Source organism: Homo sapiens, chromosome Y, assembly GCF_000001405.40.
Source record: "Homo sapiens chromosome Y, GRCh38.p14 Primary Assembly".
In the NCBI taxonomy this organism is placed as follows: domain Eukaryota; kingdom Metazoa; phylum Chordata; class Mammalia; order Primates; family Hominidae; genus Homo; species Homo sapiens.
In genome coordinates, this window is record NC_000024.10 from 2290208 (window position 1) to 2317820 (window position 27613).

Here is a 27613-nt window from a genome sequence, read left to right on the forward strand (position 1 = left end):
GGGGGAACCGTGGGTATCTCATCCACTTTCCTATCCTCCAATCCCATTAATGTTATACAAAAACACGAAACACATCAAGACAAAAAGAAAAAAAAATTAGATAGAAGCTACCACATCTTGGCAGCTGGAAACAGACAGGTATTACAACTTTAGTACAAAGAATAATGCTTTCTCCCTCCTTACAGACATGTCCATATCCTAATCTCCAGAATTTATGAAAATGGTACGTTAGGTAGCACAAGGGGTTTTGCAGAATTAAGAATCTTTAATGGTCTAGGTGGGTAATGGAGTAATTACATTGGGTAATCACAAGATCCTTTTGCTGATTTTTTTGTCTGCAATCTGAAGTGTCAATAACTTGATAAATATTTCATGTATTTGAAAGGAATGTGCTGTCTTTATGGGCTCACTGTTTGACGTACGTCTGTTCTATCCACTGTATTAATGTCACTATTTATTTCCTCTCTGAATTTGCATTTGGTCTCCATCTGTGAAAGTGATGCGTTAAATTCTACTAGCACACATGTTTGTTGGTGTATTTCTGAGACCTTTAGTTCTATGTATTTACTTAGTTTGGAGATGTCAATAACTGTACCTCCTCAGTGTGGAGGGTTCAGGTTAACTTTTATAAAAAATAAAATGGACTGCAGCAGGGGATGAGAGTAATGGGCATCAGTGTTACGAGGAGAAACATTAAGTGTTGCAATGATCTTAAGCGCTCAGCGTGGCCCAAAGAAGGGCTCAAGGTCAACAGTAAGCGTTGCAATGACCTTAAGCACTCAGCGAGGCTCAAAGAAGGGCTCAAGGTCAAGGGTAGTTTGTGTTGAAGATTGGCAGATGGGCAGATTGAAGGTGGGGAAGGGGAGATATTGACTCCACCTATCTGGGTGAGAATGTTGAACAGGGGGTAAAATCAAGAGATAAATGGTAATGAGCTTCTAGTGCCCAAATAATGACTCTCAGGGGAATGTGGTGATGGTTTTGTAAGATAACATTTGGGAAAACACCAACCCTTAGCATGTGCCTCATACCCTTTAGTCCAAGTGGACAAGTCAACGTGTCAACTCCATACAACATGTTATCGCGTTTACCATTATTTCAAAGTAACATGCTAACAAGAATGATGCTCTTCCAAAGCTATCCGTGAAATGAAGCACTGACTAGAAATAGCAGGTATGTTCAATAATTCCCATGGATATCCTGTTTTGCTGAGACACTTCTCCCGCATGAAAGCTAGAGTTCCTGTTTGCATTCAAATTAACCCCTGGCTTGCTGCAATTTCACCAGGACTCACCATTGTTGATCAGGACATGGAGAGGAATCTTCTTCATCTTGAACTTCTGCACAAACTGCCGGATGGAAGTCATGGAAGCCAAGTCACAGTATAAAAATTCCACTGGAAAAGGACAACAACAAAAAATACCTGGTTATCTCCCAACCTATTTCAGAGATTAAGAAAATTTCTAAACAGGTCAAACTCAATTTCATCTAGGAAGTAACACTTTTTTTTTTTCTGCTCTTTTTGAGATGGAGTCTCGCTCTGTTGACCGGGCTGGAGTGCTGTGGCAGGATCTCAGCTCACTGCAGCCTCTGCTTCCTGGGTTCCAGTGATTCTCCTGCCTCAGCCTCCCAGGTAGCTGGGATTACAGGCACATGCCACCAGGCCCAGCTAATTTTTGTATTTTTGTATTTTTTTTTTTTTTTTTTTTTTTAGTAGAGACAATGTTTCACCATGTTGGCCAGGCTGGTCTCAAACTCTTGACCTCAGGTGATCCGCCCGCCTCAGCCTCCCAAAGTGCTGGGATTACAGGCGTGAGCCACCACGCCTGTCCAGGAAGTAACACTGAATTGGACATGTCAGTAGGGTACAATGAGGAGCTCATACTCTAGGGAGATCAATGAGTCCCATCCTTGTATAGTCCCCTTTCCTTGAGTCTGTGTGGGACCTGTCATTCTCCTCCTGACCTTGATGTGAGCTGATGTTTTGTGAGAGCGCCTTGGGGCCAGAACCTGGGCATGGCCTCTCTAGGAGCTGACAGCAGCCCCTGGCCAAAAGCCAGCAAGATACTCAGATCCCCAGATCTGCAGCTTCCAGGAATTGGATTCTGCGTATAACCATGTGAATTTCGAAGATCCTGAGCTCCAGAGAGGACCTCAGGCCAGATGACACTTTGGTTATAGCCCAGTGAGACCCCGAAGAGAGAATGCAGTTACACCTGCCCAGATTCCTGACCCGCAGCAGCTGTGGGATAGTAAGTATGAGCCCTTCCACGCTGCTGAGTCTGTGGGTTATTTTGTTACACAGCATATGTAACTGATACACAAAATGACTCAGAAGCAAGGACTTCCTTCTTCTGCAGTAGAGGAATATAGAATATAGAATTTTATATAATAATCAAACAGGAAGCAATTTATGCATCCCCTGCTACAGATAGTAAGAAGTACGAGCCCTTCCACGTTGCTGAATCTGTGTTATTTTGTTACAGGGCATATGTAACTAATACACAAAATGGCTCAGAAGCAAGGACTTCCTTCTTCCACAGGAGAATATAGAATTTTATATAATAATAAAAAAGGACGCCATTTATGGATCCCTTGCTACAGATAGTAAGTATGAGCTCTTCCACGCTGCTCAGTCTGTTATTTTGTTACACAGTATATGTAACTAATACACAAAATGACTCAGAAGCAAGGACTTCCTTCTTCTGCAGAAGAATAATAAAAGAAAGCATTTTATTTTTTATTACATTTATGTTTTTGGAGACAGGGTCTCACTATGTCCCCATGGCTGGTCTCGAACTCCTAAGCTCAAGTGAGCCTCCCACATCAGCCTCCCAAAGTGTTGGATTACAGGCGTGAGCAGCTGTGTCCAGCCAAAGATGACATTTTTAGAGAGTGAATGACTCAGGGACAGCTTTATAACATCACATAGGTAGAGAGGTAGACTTATGTCTATTGTATTCAGTATATCAACTTCACTCTTTCTCTCTAAATTCCCAGTGGGTCTCCATCGCTAAAAGTGATGTGTTTGATTGTGTTAAAGCTGTTTTTTTTTTTTTTTTCCCAGAAGGACTGAGGTTTTGGAGGGAGAGGAACTAGAAAGAAAAGCAAATTCACAGGTATATAATTCTGCCTCCAGGTCCATGGGTTCAAGGAGGTTGGGAGAACAATGCAACAACCTAAAGTCAGACAGAACAAAATGCATGAAAACTAGCTATTACTTGCAGCAGAGACAGCAGATCTCTGAGGGAAGAAGCAAGTTCCCTTACATTGAGATGGGAAGGTAATTTCTGGAGAGAGGTGGAAGGTATTGGGGGACACTGCCAGTGAGTTCTGAAAGGTGAGGATGGGGAATGGTGTGAGGTGGAAGAGCAAATCACAGCATGTGTGCAGAGGTCAGAGACAGGAGTCCTCAGGGAGGGAGCGAGCAGAGGCTGGTTCTGGGCTGGCCGAGAAGAGAACAGCCTTGATCTGCAGGGCTGCTGGTGGTCAGTGTCATTTACAGCCTCCTCACTGGGGAGCCTCATAGGGGAAAATCATTACTGTAAAAGAACTGTTAATATTTTTATGAAGGCCACATAGCTTTCAGAGGATAAGCAGTGTGTGTGTGTGGTGGGGGGAGGGGTCTGCCTGTGCCCCCCATGTCTGCACTGATGTGTAAAATGCCAGCAATCAATTTTATGACAGACACACCTTGCTTAATAAGCTCTATGAGCCTTACTCTCCAAAACTATTACTGGAATGCTCATCATCATTCCAAAACGAAATGACTCTCCACTCACCATCAGAGAGAGAGAAGAGACAGAGATGGAGTGTAAGAATGAGAAAGAGAGAGATAGAAAGATAGAAGCAGAGAGAGAGAGAAAGAGAGAAAGAAAGAAAGGCTAAGAGAGAAAGAGAAAAAAGGAGGGGGAGGAAAAGGGGAAGAGAGAAAAAACACACAGAGATAAAGACAAAGAGACACAGTGAGAGAGAGAAACAGAAAGAGAGAGAGGGACGGGAGACAGTAAAAGGGACAAAGAGAGAAAGGCAGACAGAGAGATACAAAGAAAGAGGCCGGGCACGATGGCTCATGCCTGTAATCCCAGCACTTTAGGAGGCGAAGGCAGGCAGATCACGTGAGGTCAGGACTTTGAGACCAGCTTGGCTAACATGTTGAAACCTCGTCTCTACTAAAAATACAAAAATTAGCCAGCTGTGGTGGTGCACACCTGTAATCTCAGCACTTTGGAAGGTGGGCAGAGGTCAGGAGTTCGAGACCAGCCTGGCCATTGTGGTCAAACTCCATCTCTACTAAAAATACAAAAATTAGGCGACTGTGGTGGTGCACGCCTGTAATCCCAGCTACTTGGGAGGCTAAGGCAGGAGAATCGCATGAACCTGGGAGGTGGAGGTTGCAGTAAGCCGAGGTCGCGCCACTGCACTCCAGCCTGGGTGACAGAGCAAGACTCTGTCTCAAAAAAAAAAAAAGAGACAGAAAGAGGCAAAGAGAGAGAGCGTGACAAACACTGAGAGACAGAGAGAAATAGAGAAAAGAAGACAAAGAGAGAGACAGAGAAAGAGAGAGAGAGAGAGGAAAAAGAGAGGGAGAGAGAGAGAGGAAAAAGAGAGGGAGAGAGAGAGGGAGAAAGACAAAGAGAGCAGACAGAAAAAGAAAGAGAATGAAATGAGAGAAAGTGTGTGTTAGTTTCATATTCCTTACTGTATAAGGAGAAGAAAAGGAAATGGAGAGGATTTGGAGAAATAGGAACATTTTTACACCGTTGGTAGGAGTGTAAATTAGTTCAACCATTGTGGAAGACAGTGTGGCGATTCCTCAAGGATCTAGAACCAGAAATACCATTTGACCCATCAATCCCGTTACTGGGTATATACCAAAGGTTTATAAATCATTCTACTATAAAGACACATGCACACATACGTTTATTGCGGAACTATTAACAATAGCAAAAACTTGAAACCAACCCAAATGCCCATCAATGATAGACTGGATAAAGAAAATGTGGCACATAGACACCATGGAATACTATGCAGCCATAAAAAAAGGATGAGTTCATGTCCTTTGCAGGGACATGGATGAAGCTGGAAACCATCATTCTCAGCAAACTATCACAGGAACAGAAAACCAAACACTGCATGTTCTCACTCATCAGTGGAAGTTGAACAATGAGAACACATGGACACAGGGAGGGGAACATCACACACCAGGGCTTGCTGGGGGGTGGAGGGTTAGGGAAGGGATAGCTTTAGGACAAATACCTAATGTAGATGACGGGTCGATGGGTGCAGCAAACCACCATGGCACGTGTATACCTATGTAACAAACTTGCACGTTCTGTACATGTATCCAGAACTTAAAGTATAATAATACCAAAAAAACAAGAAGAAAAGGAAATGGTATCTGGATTACTTTGACAGGACATAACTTTCTAAAACACGTCATTCTGGATAAAATATTACCAGGCTGTTAGGACACGCTGCTGAGTCTGTGTTATTTTGTTACACGGCATGTGTAACTAATACACAAAATGACTCAGAAGCAAGGACTTCCTTCTTCTGCAGTAGAATAATAAAAGAGGGCTAGCACTTGCTTGTATTGACGGCTTGTATTTTCACGCGGTTCCGGCATGTGGCAATACCGAAGCACAAAGCTGGGGCGCATACGCACATTTATTTTCTCATCGAAGACCATAAATAGTTCCCTTCCTCCCATACGTAGCCCATTCTCTTGACTTTCCTTTTCTGGGATGGACTGTGGGGTTCTCGCCGAGAGATGCTTGTGTGCCTCACTTGGGGATCGTAAACGCAAATGTGTCACCTCCTTCAGGAAGTTTTCCTGAACCCCAAGCCACGCCGGGCATCTCTAGATCTGGCTTCCGCAATCGCAACGACAGTACCCATCATTGCACCTCCTCACTTGCATGACCAGTATGTTTTTAAGCATGTCTCATATGCCTTGGATGCTACGTAACTTTGGAACATACATTGAAATGATGCATCTTTGAGTGTCCAGAGCTAGGCTCTCTGGGCACACCCAGAAAAAAGTCAGCGGAAGAGGTAAAGGGAAGATGTATGGGAGCTTGGGCCACGTCCTCTGCTGGCGCTCTGCCGCATGCCAGCTTCTGCCCCAGAGGGAGGGGAGGGAAGGAGAGGGAAAAAGAGAAAAGAAGAAAAGGGGAGAAAGGTGAAGTGAAAAATATCAGCATGAAGCAAAAATGTGTCCTCAGACAAAAAGGAAATGCATAGACCCGAGGCAGACAGGAATAGGACCCAGGCAGATAGGAATAGGACCCAGGCAGATAGACCCAGGCAGACAGGAATAGGACCCAGGCAGATAGACCCCAGGCAGATAGGAATAGGACCCAGGCAGATAGGAATAGGACCCAGGCAGATAGACCCCAGGCAGATAGGAATAGGACCCAGGCAGATAGGAATAGGACCCAGGCAGATAGACCCCAGGCAGATAGGAATAGGACCCAGGCAGATAGGAATAGGACCCAGGCAGATAGACCCCAGGCAGACAGGAATAGGACCCAGGCAGATAGGAATAGGACCCAGGCAGATAGACCCCAGGCAGATAGGAATAGGACCCAGGCAGATAGGAATAGGACCCAGGCAGATAGGAATAGGACCCAGGCAGATAGACCCCAGGCAGACAGGAATAGGACCCAGGCAGATAGGAATAGGACCCAGGCAGATAGACCCCAGGCAGATAGGAATAGGACCCAGGCAGATAGGAATAGGACCCAGGCAGATAGACCCCAGGCAGACAGGAATAGGACCCAGGCAGATAGGAATAGGACCCAGGCAGATAGACCCAGGCAGATAGGAATAGGACCCAGGCAGGCACTGCAAGCTGTGAGCATCATCTTGGGAATATGCAAATGTTTGTGCTGAATTACTTTCCTTTTTAAAATTATTTATGCATTTATTGAGACAGGGTCTCGTTCTGTCACCCAGGCTGGAGTGCAAAGGTGTGATCTGGGCTCACTGCAGCCTCCACCTCCCGAATTCAAGCGATTCTCCCTCCTTAGCCTCCTGAGTAGCTGGGACCACAGGTGCGCAGCACCACGCCTGGCTACTTTTTGTAGTTGTTGTAGAGATCGGATTTTGCAATATTGCCCAAGCTGGACTCGAACTCCTGGGCTCAAGCGATCCGCCCGCCTTGGCCTCTCAAAGTGCTGGGATTACCGTCGTGAGCCACCTTGCCTGGCCATCCTTTCCTAAGGTAGTAAGAATGTGGTAGGCTAAATGACGGTATCCTCCACTCCGTCCCTAAAAATCTCCTGGTCCTAATCTCTAGAACCTGTGAAAAGATTACCTTGTATGAAAATAGGGTGTTTAGACATTAAAGGTTTTCAAATGAGGAAATTATCCTGTATTAGCCTAAATATAATGACAAAGATTTTTGTTTTTTGTTTGTTAGCTTTTATAGAGACAGGGGTCTCTCTATGTTGCCAAGGTAGGTCTCAAACTCCTGGCCTTGTTATCATACTGCTGCCCAAAATGCTAGGATGACAGGAGTGCGGAGTTTTTTTTGTTTTGTCTTTTTGAGTTTTTTTTTTTTGACAAAGTCTTGCTCTGTCACCCAGGCTGGAATACAGCGGACAGATCTTGGCTGACTGCAACCTCCACTTCCCGAGTTCAAGTGATCCTCCCTTCCTCAGTCTCCCAAGTAGCTGGGATTACAGGCACCCGCCACCACGCCCGGCTTATTTTTGTATTTTTAGTAAAGATGGGGTTTCACCATGTTGGCCGGGCTGGTCTCAAACTCCTGACCTCAGGTGATCTGCCCGCCTCGGCCTCCCAAAGTGCTGGGATGACAGGCATGAGCTACCACGCCTAGCCTGGGGTTTTTATAAGGAGGAGGAACAGGCATGCTTGAGACAGATGAGAGAAAATGATGATGTGAAGACAGAGGCAGAGACTGGAGTGATACAGCCACAAGCCGTGGGATGCCTGGAGCCCCCAGGAGCTGGGGGAGGCCAAAAGGATCCTCCCCTAGAGCGTCTGGATGGAGCTCAGCCCTGAGACACCTTGGATTTAAAGTCTTGTCCTCCAGACCTGGGAGAGGATATATTTCTATTGTGCAAGTTCCCCAGTTTTGGTGTTTTTTTTTTTTTTGTTAGTTCAATATGATTTTATTCAAAAATGTATACAGCTGAAGGAGGGATCTGGTCTTTTGTTAAAAAAAAAAAAAACAATTTTCACAGTATATATTTGGCCATTTTAGCTCTGTAGTGAACAACACCAGAAAAGGAAGTTTCTGTTCAAGATCCTGACTCCAGCACACTCAGCCAGGTTGCTTGGCAAGATGACACATTTCCTGGTCTGAAGCACACAGCCCATCCTCTCACCTAAGTGGAACAGCAGTTCTCCTGCAGGCGCGTGTGTACACACACACACACACACACACACACACACACACACGAGGTCTTATTTTCACTGCTCTACACAGGGTCCTGAGAACCCTTACTTTTAAAGTTGGGAAAAACGGGCCGGGCGCGGCAGCTCACGCCTGTATTCCCAGCACTTTGGGAGGCCGAGGCGGGCGGATCACCTGAGGTCGGGAGTTCAAGACCAGCCTGGCCAACATGGAGAAACCCCGTCTCTACTAAAAATACAAAATTAGCCGGGTGTGGTGGCACATGCCTGTAATCCCAGCTACCAGGGAGGCTAAGGCAGGAGAATCACTTGAACCTGGGAGGCAGAGGTTGCGGTGAGCCGAGCTCGTGCCATTGCACTCCAGCCTGGGCAACAAGAGTGAAACTCTGTCTCAAAAAAAAAAAAAAAAAAAAAAAAAAAAATGGGAAAAATGTGGAAGGATTCCTTAACTCATTGTCTGCGACAAATCCAGCTGCCTTTTAACTCTTAGCAACTGCCAGTATCAAATACTTGAAAGTGACGAGATGCTCCATTTAATGCAACAACTCAAATGCTAAGCAATTCGGTCAAGTCACATGCTTGAATATTTTTAAATGTCACTTAAAAATTATCGAGAGAAGATAAGATGTGCTTTTCACAGTAACCCTAAGGAACTCACACAGAATAAAAATCTTAACCCTAACGGAGTGTGAATCCACAGTAACAAATGCCTTCTGTCACTGTGATTCTGACAGTGAGACAGTATCATATGAAGACAGGAGATTCACGCACCTGCTGTGTCTGATGCCCCTCTCGGCACCTAGCATGGTGAATGATGTCCACGCTTCCCGTAGCCCACACACCACACCCTCCAATGCAGAAAGTGAGTCTACAATTCTCACTGTTGCTCTTGAGGCTGCCAATAACTCATCCAACTTTTCTTTTATTTGCAACTCAGTGACAGACAGTAAACCCTGAGACTCAAGAAGATAACCTCATCTGGCCGGGTGTGGTGGCTCATGCCTATAACCCCAGCACTTTGGGAGGCTGAGATGGGTGGATCACCTGAGGTCAGGAGTTCGAGACCAGCCTGGCCAACATGGTGAAATCCGGTCTCTACTAAAAATACAAAAATTAGCCAGGTGTGGTGGTGCACGCCTGTAATCCCAGATACTCGGGAGGCTGAGGCAGGACAATCGTTTGAACCTGGGAGGTGGAGGTTGCAGTAAGCCGAGATCACACCACTGCACTCCAGCCTGGGCGACAGAGCAAGACTATGTCTCAAAAAAAAAAAAAGATAACTTCATCCACAGAAGAATTTCTAACATCTAAAGGGGTTTCCTGAGGGCAAGTCAGAAATACAGATTTCTGAAATTAATGCTGCCCAAGAGATGAAGTCAACTGGAAAGACACAGAGGCATGTGTTGATAAATAGGGATCAAGAAGAAAAAAAAATTCCTTTTGTTTGGAGTTCTGGCAAATCGCCTGGTTTGGAGGAACTGAATTACCCCTTCTTCTTTGCGATAGAGAACATCATTATGGAATGAACTGTACCTCCCTAAAAAATCCTTTTGTCTGAGGCTCTGGCAAACCTCCTAATTTGGAGGAATTGAATAGTGCCTTCATTTTTTCTTTGCAATAGATATAGGACATCGTTATAGACTGAGCCGTGCCCTCCCTCACTCATCATCAGAACCCTTAAACTCCAATGTGACTTTATTTGCAGACAGGGCCTGTAGGAGCTCAAAAGGGTGAGGCCCTCGTCCAGTAGGACTGGTGTCCTTATAATCAGAGAAACACACACCAGGTGTGATGGTTAATGCCGAGTGTCAACCTGATTGGATTGAAGGATGCAAAGTATTGATCCTGGGTGTGTCTGTGAGGGTGTGGCCAAACAAGTTTAACATTTGAGTTAGTGGGGTGGGAAAGGCAGACCCACCCTTAATCGGGGTGGGCACCATCTAATCAGCTGCCAGCACAGCACATTCAAAAAGCAGGCAAAAGAATGTGAAAAGGTTAGACTGGCCTAGCCTCCCATGCTACAGCTTTCTCCCGTGCTGGATGCTTCCTGCCCTCAAAAATTGGACTCCAAGTTCTTCAGCTTTAGCACTCGGGCTGGCTTCCTTGCTCCTCAGCTCGCAGACAGCTTATTGTAGGACCTTGTGATCCTGTGAGTTAATACTGAATAAACCCCCCTTTATATATAGCTATTTATCCTGTTAGTTATATCCCTCTAGAGAACCCTGGCCAACACAGGGTGCATCCCTCACCCCCTATATCTATCACCCTGCTGCCTGAGTTGATAGGAAAGCAGAAAGAGCCCCTTTTTAATGTTTAATTTTATTAAGTATGCAATTTCCCAGTGCCCAAACTCATGTTGATTTCAAAAACTGCCCTTTTAAAGCATGTGGACAGGGTAACAATTCATAGCAGGTGACAAAAATGTTTTATAAATAATATCCACGGAAACAGAAGGTGTCACCGTCTGCAGAATGCAGCCAAAATATTCAGAAGATTTGTATCACTCTAAGTTCTCGTGCTAGTAAGAAATAAAAAAGCAGGCCGGGCGCAGTGGCTTACGCCTGTAATCCCAGGACTTTGGGAGGCTGAGGCGGGCGATCACCTGAGTTCAGGAATTCGAGACCAGCCTGGCCAACATGGCAAAACCCTGTCTCTACTAAAAATATAAAACTTAGCTGGGCATGGTGGTGCATTGCCTGTAATCCCAGCTACTTGGGAGACTGAGGCAGGGGAATCGCTTGAACCTGGGAGGCGGAGGTTGCAGTGAGCCGAGACCATGCCACTGCACTCCAGCCTGGTGACAGTGCCAGACTCCATCTCAAAAAAAAAGCTGTGTAAATACATGAATCATTAGATATTAGCCTTTCTTTGCTGAGCCTTGCACATTTCCACGAGGTGTCTCTGGAAGCAGGTTAGCTTTGGTCTTATTGCTGCGTGGAGCAGAGATGAGAGGGATGGGCCATGACATGCCATCCTGCAGCATTCTGGTCTTTGTATGATCACGGCTGGTTGCGCTGCAGGAGCACGCCAGGTCTTTTCACCTAGTTCTTTGTTGTTGTTGTTTGAGATGGAGTTTCACCCTGTAGCTCAGGCTGAAGTGCGGTGGTGCGATCTCGGCTCACTGCAACCTCCACCTCCTGGATTCAACCAATTCTCCTGCCTCAGCCTCCTGAGTAGCTGGGACTACAGGCACCCGCCACCACGCCTGGCTAATTTTTGTGTTTTAGTAGAGACAGGGTTTCACCATGTTGCCCAGGCTGTTCTTGAACTCCGGACCTTGTGATCTGCCCGCCTCGGCCTCCCAAAGTGCTGGGATTACAGGTGTGAAGCACCTCACCCGGCCTCATCTAGCTCTTGATGACATACTCAGACCAACCCGTGGGGTCCCGGGTCCCCAGAACAGAGGTGGACATGGCTCCGATATCACAAGAACTGGCGCTTCCTGCAGCACACACCTGAGGTTGAGACACAGTGATTAGGTTTTGTTTTATTGTGGCTGATCTAGGACACTTTAAATAACACAACATCCAAGAGTCAGCCAAACGTGGCAGCCAAAAGTGCTCCTGACCTTGTGATCTGAAATATATACTTTAACCTTCTCTTGGAAGGCATGTTTTAAGATAATATAACAGCTTCCTCATCATGGAGAATGAAGCCCATCTGTACCAAGTCACCAGGCCATCAAGGAAAAGGAAATAAGTACTTTCAATATTTTCCTTAGAGAAATACAGTTGGGTGGGCAGGTGCAGTGGCTCACACCTGTTATCCCAGCACTTTGGGAGGCCAAAGCGGGCGGATCGCTTGAGGTCAGGAGCTCAAGACCAGCCTGGCCAACACGGTGAAACTGCATCTCTACTAAAAATACAAAAACTAGCCGGGCATGGGGTCAGGCACCTGAAATCCCAGCTACTTGGATGGCTGAGGCAGGAGAATTGCTTAAACCCGGGAGGTGGAGGTTGCAGTGAGCTGAGATCGCACCACTGCACTCCAGCCTGGGTGACAGAGCCAGACTGTCTCAAAAAATAAATAAATAAATAAATAAAGTAATATATTGGATGGTATGATGGTACACACACTCCTGAATCAGACGGCTGCCACTCTGTGAACTGTTACTGCAAGCTGTCTGTGGTGAGACATGTTCAGAAATTGAAAGTAAATGTTTAGAAACTTAAAAAATAATGACAGTCATTTAAGCTTTGTTCAATCCAATGACTTAAAAAAAACACACTGAGAGCTTCTAGTTTCCATGTTTCTTAAATGCATTTTTTTTAGTAATTCATTTTTATTGTATCTACGGCAGTTATCAATCTGCTGCAGATTAGGGGAGAGGCAGTTTTGCCATGGAGAGTTTAAAAGCGCTGATTCTGAGCACAGTGTCATCTGGATAGAAACTCCTGAGGTACTGCTGTAATTTTCCACAAAAACACTTGTGGGGATGTAAGAAAGAGGAAAACCCATACTACTGCTAATAATTGGAACCAGTGATCAAAGGATGGGTAAAAGCACAAGCTGAGCTTCCAAAAACAGCAGTGTGAATGGATTTTTTTTAAAAAAACTAGAAGATGCATTTTTCTTGCTCCTTGAGAAAAAAGGCTTATAGCCACTAGCAACATGAACATCAGCATTCTATTGAGATCACTGGCTTGCGAGGTGGTGATATAGTTTAGATCTGTGTCCCCACCCAAATCTCATGTTGAATTGTAATCCGCAGTGTTGGAGGAGTGGCCTGGGGAGAGGTGATGGGATCATGGAGGTGGATTTCTCACGAATGGGTTAGCGCCATCCCCTTGGTGATGTTCTTGTGACCATGAATGAGTTCCCACAAGATCTGGTTGTTTAAAAGTGCACAGCACCTCCCCTCCACTCTTGCTCCTGCTCTAGCCATTAAGACGTGCTGGCTTCCACTTCACCTTCCATCATGATTGTAAGTTGCCTGAGGCCTCCCCAGAAGCAGAAGCTGCTCTGCTTCCTGTACAGCTTGCAGAACCATGAGCCAATTAAACCTCTTTTCTTTATAAATCATCCAATCTCAGGTACTTCTTTATAGCAATGCAAGAACAGACTAATACAGATGGATGCATGCATGGACGGATGGACGGATGAATTGATGGATGGGTGGAAGGATGGGTAGATGGATGGATAGGTGGATGGATGGATGGATTGGATAGATGGATGGATAAATGGATGGATGGATGGATGGGTGGGTGGGTGGGTGGATGGGTGGGTGGATGGGTGGGTGGATGGATGGATGGATGGATGGGTGGATGGGTGGATGGGTGGATGGGTGGATGGATGGATGGATGGATAAATGGATGGATGGATGGATGGATGGATGGGTGGGTGGGTGGATCGATGGATTGATGGATGGATACATGAGAGGATGGGTGAGTGGATGGATGGATGAATTGATGGATGGACGGATGGATGAACTGATGGATGGATGGATGGATGGATGGATGGATGGATGGATGGGTGGATGGATGGATGGGTGGGTGGGTGGATTGATGGATGGATAGATGGATGGATGGATAAATGGATGGATGGATGAATGGATGGATGGATGGATGGATGGATGAACTGATGGATGGATGGATGGATGGATGGATGGATAAATGGATGGATGGATGGATGGATGGATGGATGGATGGATAAATGGATGGATGGATGGGTGGGTGGGTGGATGGATGGGTGGGTGGGTGGGTGGATGGATGGATGGATGAATGGATGGATGGATGGATGGATGAACTGATGGATGGATGGATGGATGGATAGATGGATGGATGAATTGATAGATGGGTAGTGATATGGTTTGGATCTGTGTCCTCATTCAAATCTCAAGTTGAATTGGAATCCCCAGTGCTGGAGGTGGACCCTTGTAGGGGGAGATTGGGTCACGGGGGTGGATGTCTCAGGAATAGTTTAGTGCCATCCCCTGGGTGCTGTGCTTGCAATAGTGAATGAGTTCTCGTGGCATCTGGTTGTTGAAAAGTGTGTAGCATCTCCCCAGCCCACCCCAACTGCACCTCTGTCTCTCCTTCTCTTGCTAGGGCCATGTAAGACACCTGCTTTCCTTCACTTTCCACTATGATTATGCATTTCCTCATGCCTCCCTAGAAGCAGAAGCTGCTCTGCTTCCCGTACAGCCTGCAGATCCATGAGCCAATTAAACTTCTTTTCTTTATAAATTACCCAGTCTCAGTGTAGCAATTCCTCAAAGACCTAGAACCAGAAACACCATTTGACCCAGCAATCCCATTACTAGGTATATATCCAAATAAATAGAAATCATTCTATTATAAAGATACAGGCACACATATGTTCATTGCAGCACTATTCACAATAGCAAGGATGTGGAATCAACTCAAATGCCCAAGAATGATAGACTGGATTAAAAAAAATGGTACATATACACCGTGGAATACTATGCAGCCATAAAAAGGAACGAGATCATGTCCTTTGCAGGGACATGGATGGAGCTAGAAGCCATTATTCTTGGCAAACTAATGCAGGAACAGAAAACCAAACACTGTACACTCTCACTCATAAGTGGGTGCTTAACAATGAGAACACATGGATACAGGGAGGGGAACAACACACACTGGGGCGTGTTGTGGGTGGGGGTCAGGGAGGGGGAGAGCATCAGGAAAAATAGCTAATGCCTGCTCAGTAGTGAAGTACAAATCAAAACCACAATGAGATACCACCTCACATCAGTTAGAAGGGCGATCATTAAAAAATCAGGAAACAACAGATGCTGGAGAGGATGTGGAGAAACAGGAATGCTTTTACACTGTTGGTGAGAGTGGAAGTTAGTTCAACCATTGTGGAAGACACTGTGGCGATTCCTCAAGGATCTAGAACCAGAAATACCATTTGACCCAGCAATCCCATGACTGGGTATATACCCAAAGGATTATAAATCATCCTACTATAAAGACACATGCACATGTGTGTTTACTGCAGCACTGTTCACAATATTAAAGACTTGGAACCAACGCAAATGCCCGTCATTGATAGACTGAATAAAGAAAATGTGGCACATAGACACCATGGACTACTATGCAGACATTAAAAAGGATGAGTTCATGTGCTTTGCAGGGACACGGATGAATCTGGAAACCATCATTCTCAGCAAACTAACACAAGAACAGAAAACTAAACACCACATGTTCTCACTCTTAAGTGGGAGTTGAGCAATGAGAACACAGGGACACAGGGAGGGGAACATCACACACTGGGGCCTGTTGGGGGGTGGGGGGCAAGGGGAGAGATAGCTTTAAAAGAAATACCTAATGTAGATAACGAGTTGATGGGTGCAGCAAACCACCATGGCACGTCTATACCTATATAACAAACCTGCATGTTCTGCACATGTACCCCAGAACTTAAAGTACAATAATAAAAAGAATAGCTAACTCATGCTGGGCTTTAATACTTAAGTGATGGGTTGATAGGTGCAGCAAACCACCACGGCACATGTTTATCTATGTACAATCCTGCATATGTACCCGGAACTTAAAATTTTTAAAAATTACCCAGTCTCAGGTATTTCTTCAGAGCAGTGTGAGAACGGAGTAATACAGGCAACCAACGGGCTTTGCTCATTCTTGCAATCAGCATCTTTTTTTTTTTGCATCCATTCAGGAGCTACCTCGCACCAAGAGAAACACTGGTAGGAAGGGTAAGGGGAACAGGGTATGGCTGGCATCACTAGGGGAAGATGAGCCGATACATCAAGCCCTGCAGCAGGGGAAGGCAGAATGCTCACTGGGTGCTAGAACTTGAACTTCACCCCTGACATTCAGAAAAATCTCTTTGGACAAAGAGCAGAGCAGGAATGAAGCCCACAATTAAGATTGCGATCAATTATCTTTTTTTTTTTTTTTTGAGGCAGAGTCTTGCTCTGTTGCCCAGGCTGGAGCGCAGTGGTGCGATCTTGGCTCACTGCAACCTCCACCCGCCAGGTTCAAGCGATTCAGCCTCCCAAGTAGCTGGGATTACAGACGCGCACCACCACGCCTGGCTAATTTTTGTATTTGTAGTAGAGACAAGGTTTCGATGATCAGTCATCTTTTTGACGCACTGCTGGATTCTGTTTGCTAGTATGTGGTTGAGCATTTGTGCGTCTATCTTCATCTGGGATATTGGCCTGTAGTTTTCTATTTTTGTCGTGTCCTTGTCAGATTTTGGTATCAAGATGATACAGGTTTTGTAGAATAAGTTAGGGAGGAATCCCTCCGCCTCAATTTTTTAGAATCGTTTCAGTCAGATTGGAACCAGCTCTTCTTTGTACATCTGGTCGAATTCAGCTGTGAATTTGTCTGGTCTTGGGGCTTTTTTTTTTTTTTTTGATTGATAGGTTTTTGTAAATTACTGATTCAATTTCATAACTTGTCATGAAATGAGTCTGTTCTGGATCTGATTTCTTCCTGATTCAATCTTGGGAGGCATGAGGGAATCAGCCCAGGTGTCCATCAATTATGTGTTGGATGAAGAAAATGTAGTTGCTGCATATATACCGTAGAATAGTATAGAGCCATAAAAAAGAATGAAATCATGTTTTTAGCAGCAACACAGATGCAGCTGGAGGCCATTATCCTAAGTGAATTAACACAGAAACGGAAAATTAAATACCACTTGTTCTCAATTATACATAGGAGCTAAACATTGAATAATCAGGCATAAAAATGGGAAGCTGGCACACCTGCGCATTCCAAGAGCAGGGGAGGGAGAGGGGTGTAAAGGCTAAAACTCTACCTATGAGGTATTTTGTTCACCGTTTGAGTGACAGGTTCAACTGAAGCGTGAACCGCAGCACTACACAATGTATCTTACAACAAAGCTGCACGTGTACCTCATGAAATTTTTTTTAAAAGAAAACAAACAAGGCCGGGGGGTGGGTGGCTCACGCCTGTAATCCCAGCACTTTGGGAGGCCGAGGCGGGTGGATCACGAGGGGTCAGGAGATCGAGACCATCCTGGCTAACATGGTGAAACCCTGTCTCTACTAAAACTACAAAAAATTAGCCAGGCGTGGTGGCGGGCGCCTGTAGTCCCAGCTACTCAGGAGGCTGAGGCAGGAGAATGGCATGAACCTGGGAGGCGGAGCTTGCAGTGAGCCGAGATTGTGCCACTGCACTCCAGCCTGGGCGACAGAGCAAGACTCCCTCTCAAAAAAAAAAAAAAGTAATAAAAATAAAAAAAATAAAATAAAAAACAAGGAAAAACAAAAGAGTATGAGGCTTCAAGCCCACTGGACCAAGACACCAGGGTGATCTGCGCATAGGACACAGGAAATCGTACTTGCTAGGAGCTCAGTGGCTGCGTTCACCTGGAACCTAACCCATGTAGGAGCTGCGTCCCTTTCCCAGGGCACCATGAGAGGGACCAGGGAACCGAACACAGGAGGATCTCCGGAAGACTTGAGATAGGTTTTTTCATTCCACCTGGAGTACCTTCAACGATACCTTCATTCTATTTAGATAATTTAGAGAAATGAAAGTTAGAGTGTTTGGGAGTATTTAACGCACTCCTAGGAGCTACAAAATGAGTGTCTGCCACGTAGCTCATGGAATAAGATGGAGTATACCAGTTATCCATGTGGCAAGAACAGAAAAGAAGCAGGAAGTACAGCTTCAGCCAACGAGGGCGCTCCCAGTTACTGGTCATGATATAAAGCCAAAATGGTGGCCTCCTACACTCAGAGCCTGTGAAAAAGGTGATGTCTGTATCTTGATGGTAAAGATACAGAGTATTAAAAAGGAGGAATTACAATTGTTAAAACAACTGTTCGACAATTGTTCGACAATTGTTTTAACAATTGTTCAACAATTGTTAAAACGTTCACATTTATCAGCCAAACAAGCAAAAACCAAGTAGAAATGGCCCTAGTCACACAAGACAGCAATGATTGAAGTCTAAAACGTTAATGGAACAAGGAGGATCATCGCCTATGAAGGCATGGTTTGGATCTGTGTAACCAACCTTGTAACCCAACAGGGCTAACTTGAAAATCATAAACCAAATGCTGAATTGAGATGAAGCTATAATGTGCCATTTTCACAGCATTTTCTTCAGAATAACACAATATCCAAGTATATTTTTCAAGAATTCCTAGGTAGGCAGGGAGAAATGAACAAAATCAACATTGTGGGGGAAGGAGGAAAGGATGGGTGGAAAGAGGGAAGGGGAGGGGAGGGGAGGGAAGCAAGAATGAATGGAAGGAGGGAAGAAAGAAAGGGAGGGAGGGAGAAAGGAGGGAAGAAAGGGAAGGAGGAAAGGATGGGTGGAAACGGGGAAGGAAGGAAGAAGGAGAAACAAGGTCCCAGAAAATACTGTCAATAATATATTTAATGAGGCAGGAAATGCAAACTTACAAATAGGAAACACTGTACTGTATGAAAAAAGCTTTAAAATGATAGGTTTCTGTTTCTTAGTATCCTGATAATATGTTACATTTGTAAGTAAAATGTGAAAATCTCGAGGAAATAATTTTCTCAGAGATACTAATTATCCCAATTCAATCAAGGAAATTAGGTCTAATCAGACCAATAGCTATAAGAAAAATAGAGAAGAATAATGAAAGAATGGCATGAAGAAAGGGTAGATGAGTGCAGAGGGTATTTTAGAAAATTCTTCTAGACTTTCAAAGAACAGATAAGTGCCCTGATACTGACTGGTTGGACAAAAAGAGTCTGAGGTGGTTTGTTTTGTGAAATTTATGCTGTTCTGATAGAAATTCTGAAAAAAGCATAGCAGAAGAAATTTGCTAGGAGGGCAGGAATTGCTTGATGAGTAACATTTATATATACAGAAGAAAAAAATCATAAAAATGTAAACTTAAAGAAGTCTTCCACTGAGACATACAAAAGCAAATGTATTTAATACTAAGAAAAAAATTTCCAGAAATGCTGTCCATTCTGAAATATTATTAAAGAGCTCCTAGAATAAATGTGATAAGTGTGTCCATAACCACTACCTGAAAATCAGATCTTAGTCAACCTTGTAACCCAACTGGGCTAATTTGAAAATCATCATGGCCAGGTGTGGTGGCTCACCCTGTCACTGTAGCATTTTGAGAGGCCGAGGTGGGAGGATTGCTTGAGGCCAGTTCAAGAGCAGCCTGGGCAACATAGCAAGACCCTACCTCTACAAAAGGAAGTCATAAAAAATTATCTGAGTGTGGTGGTGCATGTCTGCAATCCCAGCTACGTGGGAGGCTGAGGTGGCAGGACTGCTTGAGCATAGGAGGTTGAGGCTGCAGTGAGCTATGATTATGCCTCTGCACCTCTGCACTCCAGCTTAGAAAACAGAGCAAGACCCTGTCTCAAAATAATATAAAATAAAAACCCATCATTTAGACCAGGAGGCAGCGCTTGTGGAGAAGGCGTTCAGCTCAGAGCAGCAACAGCTTTCAAGCATCTACCAACAGCCAACACAGCCCCTGAATCCGTCTGCACCTGCCCCGTCCCTACGCATCCTAATAAATTCACGAGTGTCTTGGTAAGCCAGAACCTCCGGGATCCAGGCAGCCAGAGGACAGTTCTTCCCGCACTTGTGGGTAGCAACAGCCGTCCTGCTACCCAAAAAGCCCAGTTCTTGGAGCCAAGAGCTGATGCGACCACAGCCTGCAAAGTCTTGAGCAGGGACGAAGCTCATGATGGCTTCTGGCCTCTCTTCATTCAGGAGGGAAGGAACCCAGGTGCCCGAACTGCCGGAATTTGCCAAGAAGGAGGGCAGATTGGTTGTCACCCCCTGCGTCTCTCATTTCTATATATTTATCAATTTAAAAATAAAGGTGAAATACCAGTATCTCTTAGTCGTTATGCAGGTATGGAGCGCCTCTCTGGAGACCTGAAATCCTATTTTCTTTGTATGAGGCAGCTATCCATCTGCCCCTAAGACCTACTGTGAAAGACGCTGCAGCGAGATTATTCTGTGTGTGTGTGTATATGTGTGTGTGTGTGTGTGAGAGAGAGAGAGAGAGGGAGAGAGAGAGAAAATAAGCAAGAGAGAGGAAGAAAAAAGAACAAAACACAGAGAAAGTTATGGAGAAAGAGAGGGTGAGAATGGGAGAGAAAGAGAGAGACAGAGGGAGGAAAGAGACAGAGAGAAAGATTGTGACACAGAAATAGAAGCACAGAAAGAGAGCTTGAAAGAGACAGAGAGTGTGCCAGAGAGACACAGAGAGACAGATACAGGCTCACACCTGTAATCCCAATAGTTTGGGAGGCCGAGGCGGGTGGATCGCCTGATGTCAGGAGTTCGAGACCAGCCTGGCCAACATGGTGAAACCCCGTCTCTACTAAAAATATAAAAACTAGCTGAGCGTGGTGGCGGGCACCTGTAATCCCAGCTACTCGGGAGGCTGAGGCAGGAGAATCGCTTGAATCCGGGAGGCGGAGGTTGTAGTGAGCCGAGATCACTCCATTGCACCCCAGACTGAATGAGAAGAACAACACTCTGTGTCAAAAAAAAAAAAAAAGAGAGACAGAAGGAGAGAGACACAGAAACTGAGAGACAGAGAGAATAAGCGAGAGACAGAGAGAGAGAAAGAGGAGAGACACAGAGAAAGTGACAGAGAGGGACAGAGAGGAATAGAATGAGAGAGACAGAGGTTGTGACACAGAGAGGGAGAGAAAGAGAGAGAGACATACAGAGAGAGAAAGAGAGAGATGGGGAGAGAGCTGCCTGGCATGGTGGGATAAATAAGTGGGTGACGCCTTTGTTTTCATTGTGTTTACTACGATGGCCCTCCTCTCCCTCTTGAGCACTTGAGATACATCACTACGAGAGAACTCAAGTTAAAACAATGCTCCTCGGATACACAGCTGTCCTCAGAAACCACCTTCAGGATAAACTCTGTAAATATTGTTGTCAGAATGGTAAAGTGTTCAGATAATTAAAGTTGTCCTCTGACTCCCAGGTCTAGTCTAGAAAAGAAGATTAAAATGAAAGCACCATTGACCCACCCGCGAGGCAAAGAGCAGATGCCCCAAAGAGCTTGTGTAAGTAAAGAGGAAAGAAAGGCTTTCGAAGACAAGGCACTACCCAAGGGCGAGAAGTCAATCTTGATGTTGCCGTGGAAACGCGGACTTGTGAAGAGCTTTCAAGAACAATTCTGTCTCCAAGGAGGTAAATCGTCCTCCTGGGAATGCGTTGAAACCATTATCCACCCACAGGACTGGGCTAAAAGTAAACTTCAGGGTAGCTTGGATGAGCAGCATAGGTTGCTAATGAGCGTCGATTTAATGGTCTGAGTTGTTTATACATCAAAAAGAAGTTACCAAGGGTCTACCTGTCTGCTGTTTAGATACACTGGAAACCAGTTAAAACTTAATTCCTAAGAAGCTGTTTCCCACTGTGTTCAAATTTAAATGCTTCAAGAGTAATGCTTCTGGGCACAAAATGGAAAAAGTGGGGAAAATCCAACGGCATCAAAATCCCCACGCCACCACCCATGCTGCAAGCACTGTAAGCTGTGATAGTATCTGTCTGCTAAAGGTGCTAAAGAGAAAGCTTGAGGAACTGAGACCTGGCAGGGACCCCTCTTAGGGGCAAACCAGGAAACTCTCTCCACCCCCGACCAAGCATGGAAATCAAGAGAAATCTTGAGTTCCTTCCAGGAAGGAAACTCCAGGCACTTCGCTGGCTGGGAGAAGTTAATGAGCAACTTGATGAAGAAGAAAGTCACAGTAGCTTAAAATAACAACCAAGGAAATTAGAGTCAGGGATGTTCGCTTCCCTAGAGCAACTAATAAAGAAAATGTGGCACGTAGACACCATGGAATACTATGCAGCCATAAAAAAGGATGAGTTCATGTCCTTTGCAGGGACATGGATGAAGCTGGAAACCATCATTCTCAGGAAACTATCACAGGAACAGAAAACCAAACACTGCATGTTTTCACTCATAAGGGGGAGTTGAACAATGAGAACACATGGACACAGGGAGGGGAACATCACACACAGGGGTCTTTCGGGGACTGGGGGACTAGGGGAGGGAGAGCATTAGGACAAATACCTAATGTAGATGATGGATGGCAGCAAACTACCATGGCACGTGTATACCTAGTAACAAACCTGCATATTCTGCACATGTACCCCAGAAGTTAAAGTATAATTAAAAAAAATAAAAGAAACTCACACCTCTACCCTATGGAATCCTCTGGCATGAAGACCTCAGACGTGGGAGAGCTAGGGACTGAACTCTGATCCCTGTTCCTTGTTTTAAATTTCTTCCTGAGGGTCCTGGAGGAGGTCCTGCCCATGGGCCAGATCCAATGTGCTTTTACTGCTGACCGCAAGTCTTAGACAAAGCTCCACTTCCTTAACCAATTGCAAGTCCAAAAGTCTTTGAATCCACCTTGTTCCTGTAAGCAACCCCACCCTCGGGCCCAGCTTCAAGATATATATTTTTTTTTTTTTGAGATGGAGTTTCGCTCTTGTTGCCCAGGCTGGAGTGCAGTGGCATGATCTTGGCTCGCTGCAACCTCTGCCTCCCAGGTTCAAGCGATTCTCTTGCCTCAGCCTCCCAAGTAGCTGGAATTACAGGCACTTGCCACCACACCTGGGTAATTTTTTGTATTTTTAGTCAAGACGGGGTTTCACCATGTTGGCCAGGCTGGTCTTGAACTACTAGTAGACCTCAGGTGATCTGCCTGCCTCAGCCTACAAATGTGCTGGGATTACAGGCATGAGCCACCGTACCTGGCCCAAGATATCCCTTTTTAGGCCAAACCAACGTATAGCTTCCATGTATTGATTTATGATTTTTTTTTTACTTATTATTTTTGAGATGTAGTCTCGCTCTGTCGCCCAGGCTGGAGTGCAGTGGTGCCATCTCGGCTCACTGCAACCTCCGCCTCCCAGGTTCAAGCGATTCTCCTGCCTCAGCCTCCCAAATAGCTGGGACTACAGGCAAGCGCCACCATGCCCAGCTAATTTTTGTATTTTTAGTAGAGACAGGGTTTCACCATGTTGGCCAGGATGGTCTCGATCTCATGACCTCGTGATCTGCCCACCTCGGCCTCCCAAAGTGCTAGAATTACAGGCATGAGCCACGACGCCCAGCCGTGATTTATAATTGTTGATGAAAAGAGTCAAACTCTGTAAAATATTTGAAGAGATTTATTCTGAGCGAAATATGAGTGACCACGGCCCGTGACACAGCCCTCAGGAGATCCCGAGAACATGTACCCCAGGTGGTCGGGGTGCAGCTTGATTTTATATATTTTAGGAAGGCATGAGACATCAATCAAATACATTTCAGAAATACATTGGTTTGGTTCAGAAAGGTGGGACAACTCAACCTGGGGGCTGCCAGGCTATAGGTAAGTTTAAATATTTTCTGGTTGACAACTGGTTGAGTTTATCTGAAGACCTGGAATCAACAGAAAGGAAATGTCCAGGTGGAGATAAAGGATTGTGGGAACCAAGTTTTATTTTGCACAGGAAGCTCTCAGATAGCAGACTTCAGAGAGAACAGGTTGTAAAATGTTTCTTATCAGACCTAAAAGGGGGCCTGGCTCTCAGTTGATTATGTCCCAGATCTGGGAAGGAACAAAGGAACAAAGGGAGGGACGGAAGGAAGGAGGGAAGGAGGGAAGGAAGAGAGGGAGGGAAGGAGGGAAGGAAGGGAGGGAGGGAAGGAAGGGAGGGAAGGAGGGAATGAAGGAGGGAATGAGGGAGGGAAGGAGGGAATGAGGGAGGGAAGGAGGGAGGCAGGGAGGGAAGGAGGGAGGGAGGGAAAGGAGGGAGGGAGGGAAAGAAGGGAGAGAGGGAAAGGAATGGAGGGAAGGAAGGAAGGGAAAGAAGGGAGGGAAGGAAGGAAGGGGAGAAGGGAGGAAGGAAGGGGAGAAGGGAGGAAGGAAGGGGAGAAGGAAGGAAGGAAGGAAGGGAGGTAAAGGAGGTAAGGGAGGGAGGGAGGAAAGGCTATTCTCTATAGAATGTGGATTTTTCCCACAAGAGACTTCTCAGGGCAATTTCAAGGTATGGCAAGGAAATATATTTTGGGGTTAAATACATTGTTTTTCCTTGTCTCATTATGTTATGCCAGAGTCACATTGGAAAGTAAGTTACGATATATAGGGTTAAATAAAACCCATCTAATGAGAACTCATGGTTTGTAAAGAATGACTCCCTAGACCCTTTAGATAGGAATTTGGGCAAGATAAAAAAATCAGAACTTCGTCCTCATGATTTTGCCTGGAGCAGCTTCTGTCCTGAAATTTACCCGACTTGAAACACTATGGCTCGGAAGTCATTGAAAAGATTGGGTCTTAGGCCAGGTGCGGTGGCTCACGCCTGCAATCTCAGCACCTTGGGATGCCAAAGCGAGGGAATCACCTGAGGTCGGGAGTTAAGAGACCAGCCTGACCAACATGGAGAAATGCTGTCTCTACTAAAAGTACAAAACTAGCCAGGCGTGGTGGCGCATGCCTGTAATCCCAGCCACTCAGCAGGCTGAGGCAGGAGAATTGCCTGAACCCGGGAGGTGGAGGTTGCGGTGAGCTGAGATCACGCCATAGCACTCCAGCCTGGGCAGCAAGAGTGAAACTCCGTTTCAATAAAAAAAAAAAAAACGTTAGGTCTTAAGCGTGAGCTGCCTGAGTCTCCTGGCTTGGTGCTGTCCAAATAAACACTATCCTTTCTCTTGCTGCAAAGCCTCATTGTGGAGGTTTGACCTAAGTGCACCAGGCAAGTGGACACCAGTCCAGTTTGGCAACAAAACAGGCATCAGTAACGTGGGGTACAGGGTGAGAAAGGCCTACATCAGCAGCTTTTTATGAGATGAAAAGATTTCCTATCAGGAGAACATAAACAGACTTAGACTAAGGTGTTGGACTTCTGTTCGTCTGAGGATCCTGTTTCTTGCTGCCTGGTGAGAAGGTAGTGAGGTCATTTGGGTATACATAGCAGCATTAACAGCTTGAACCTAGCGAATATAGATGCCCATCTGTCTGCAGAAGTTGCCTCCCTCTGCCCTCAAATGAGCTGCTTAAGGAGCCATCCATCTTAGCTAGCTCTGCTGCGTAACAAAACGCCCCAAACGTAGTAGTTTAAAAAACAACACCCCTTTATGATCTCACAGTTCTGTAAGTCAGAAGATTGGGTTTAGATTAACAGGATGTCTCCATTTAGAGTCTCACAAGGCTGGAATTAAGGTGTCAGACAAAGCTGAGATGACATCTGTAGCTTAGGATGCTCTTCCAGGCATGCTGAATTGGGAGGCAAAATTCAGCTTCTTGTGGTTGTGAGATTGAGTCACATTTTCTCTCTTTTCTTTGAGACAGAGTCTCACTCTGTTGCCTAGGCTGGAGTGCAGTTTCGCGATCTCAGCTCACTGCAACCTCCGCCTCCCAAGATCAAGTGATTCTCTTGCCTCAGCCTCCCCAGTAGCTGGGATTACAGGTGCCTGCCACCACACCCAGCTAATTTTTGTCTTTTTAGTAGAGACGGGTTTTCTCCTTGTTGGAAAGAGTGGTCTCAAACTCCTGATCTCAGGTGATCCACCGGCCTTGGCCTCCAAAAGTGCTGGGATAACAGGCGTGAGCCACCGCGCCCGGCCAAGTCTCATTTTCATTTTGGCTGTCAGACAATGGTGGCTCTCTGCTTGCTGTGACACCCTCAGCAACTTGTCATATGGGAGTCTGCTTCTTCAAAACCAGCAAAAAGGGCCGGCTGCGGTGGCTCACGCCTGTAATTCCAGCACTGTGATAGGCTGAGGTGGGGAAGATCACCTGAGCTCAGGAGTTCGAGACCAGCCTGGCCAAAAGGGTGAAACCCTGTCTCTACGAAAAATACAAAAATTAGCCAGGCATGGTAGTGGGCGCCTGTAATCCCAGCTACTTGGGAGGCTGGGGCAGGAGAATCGCTTGAACCTGGGAGGTGGAGGTTGCAGTGAGCCGAGATTGCACCACTGCACTCCAGCCTGGGTGATAGAGCAAGACTCTGCCTCAAAAACAACAACAATAATAACAACAAAAACCAGGAAAAGGATCTCTGAGACCATCTCAAGTTTATTTGAAGAAGAAGAATTACTCATTCATCTCACCCTCTTTGAGGCAGGTCCAGCACAGATGATCTCTCCTTTGATTAAACCCACGTATGCCTAGTGTTCCATTATTGGAATGCTAAGCATGTGGAGTTATTTATATCCTACTGCTCAAGGTCATCGCCAAGATCTGATGGCAAAAATTCAAAAACTTGCAACTTCAGGCATAAATGGATTAACTCAAAGTTTTGAATCAAAGAAGATGAGTGAGGCAAGCCTCCATTAGTTTAGAGGTTAATTTTGCCACGGTTGAGAATGTGCCCCAGTCCAGGAAAAACAGACGCCAGTCACCATAGGACCTGTGCTCCGTGCTTTTTCTTTTCTTTTTGAGACGGAGTCTCCCTCTGTCGCCCAGGCTGGAGTGCAATGGCGCCATCTCGGCTCACTGCACCCTTCGCCTCCCGGGTTCAAGTGATTCTCCTGCCTCAGCTTCCTGAGTAGCTGGGATTACAAGTGCACGTCACCACGCCCGGCTAATTTTTGTATTTTTACTAGAGATGGGCTTTCACCACGTTTGTCAGGCTGGTCTCAAACTCCTGACCTCAGGTGATCCACCCGCCTCGGCTTCCCAAAGTGCTGGGATTACAGGCGTGAGCCACCGCGCCTGGCTTTTTTTTTTTTTGAGACAGAGTCTTGCTGTGTGGCCCAGGCTAGAGTGCAGTGGCGCAGTCTCAGCTCACTGCAGCCTCCACCTCCCGGGCTCAGATGATTCTTCTGCCTCACTGTCCCAAGTAGCTGGGATTACAGGCATGCAACGCCACGCCCTGCTATTTTTTTTATTTTTCAGTACAGACGGGGTTTTGCCATGTTGGCAGGCTGGTCTTGAACTCCTGACCTCAGGTGATCCACCTGCCTCGGCCTCCCAAAGTGCTGGGATTACAGGCGTGAGCCACTGCGTGCGGCCCTGTGCTTTTTCCAAGGATGGTTTTGAGGGCTTTGGTATAGAAAGGGAAAAAAGCAGGCAGGAGGGAAAGAGGAAAGAAAAAAAAAAGAAGGAGAGTAGATAAAAGAGGCAAATGATTACATTCTTGTGAGTCTTTGATTGGCACTCTCTGAATACACATTTTACATGGCAAAGTGCGGGTAGAGGAACAGTCAATCACGCGTTCATTTCATGCACAGTAAATCCACTTTTGCATAAGACAAAGTCAACATACAGAAGAGGAAGATGTC

At 45.7% G+C, this 27613-nt stretch overlaps 1 protein-coding gene across 1 annotated transcript in view; it reads right to left on the bottom strand.

The window, feature by feature from the left end:
- Nucleotides 1-27613, bottom strand: part of DHRSX (dehydrogenase/reductase X-linked) — a 281471-nt gene that overhangs the window by 70702 nt on the left and 183156 nt on the right. Inside the window, exon 4 of the mRNA NM_145177.3 lies at nucleotides 1295-1396. Coding sequence (NP_660160.2) covers nucleotides 1295-1396 — 102 coding nt within the window. The remainder of the gene's footprint in view (nucleotides 1-1294; nucleotides 1397-27613) is intronic.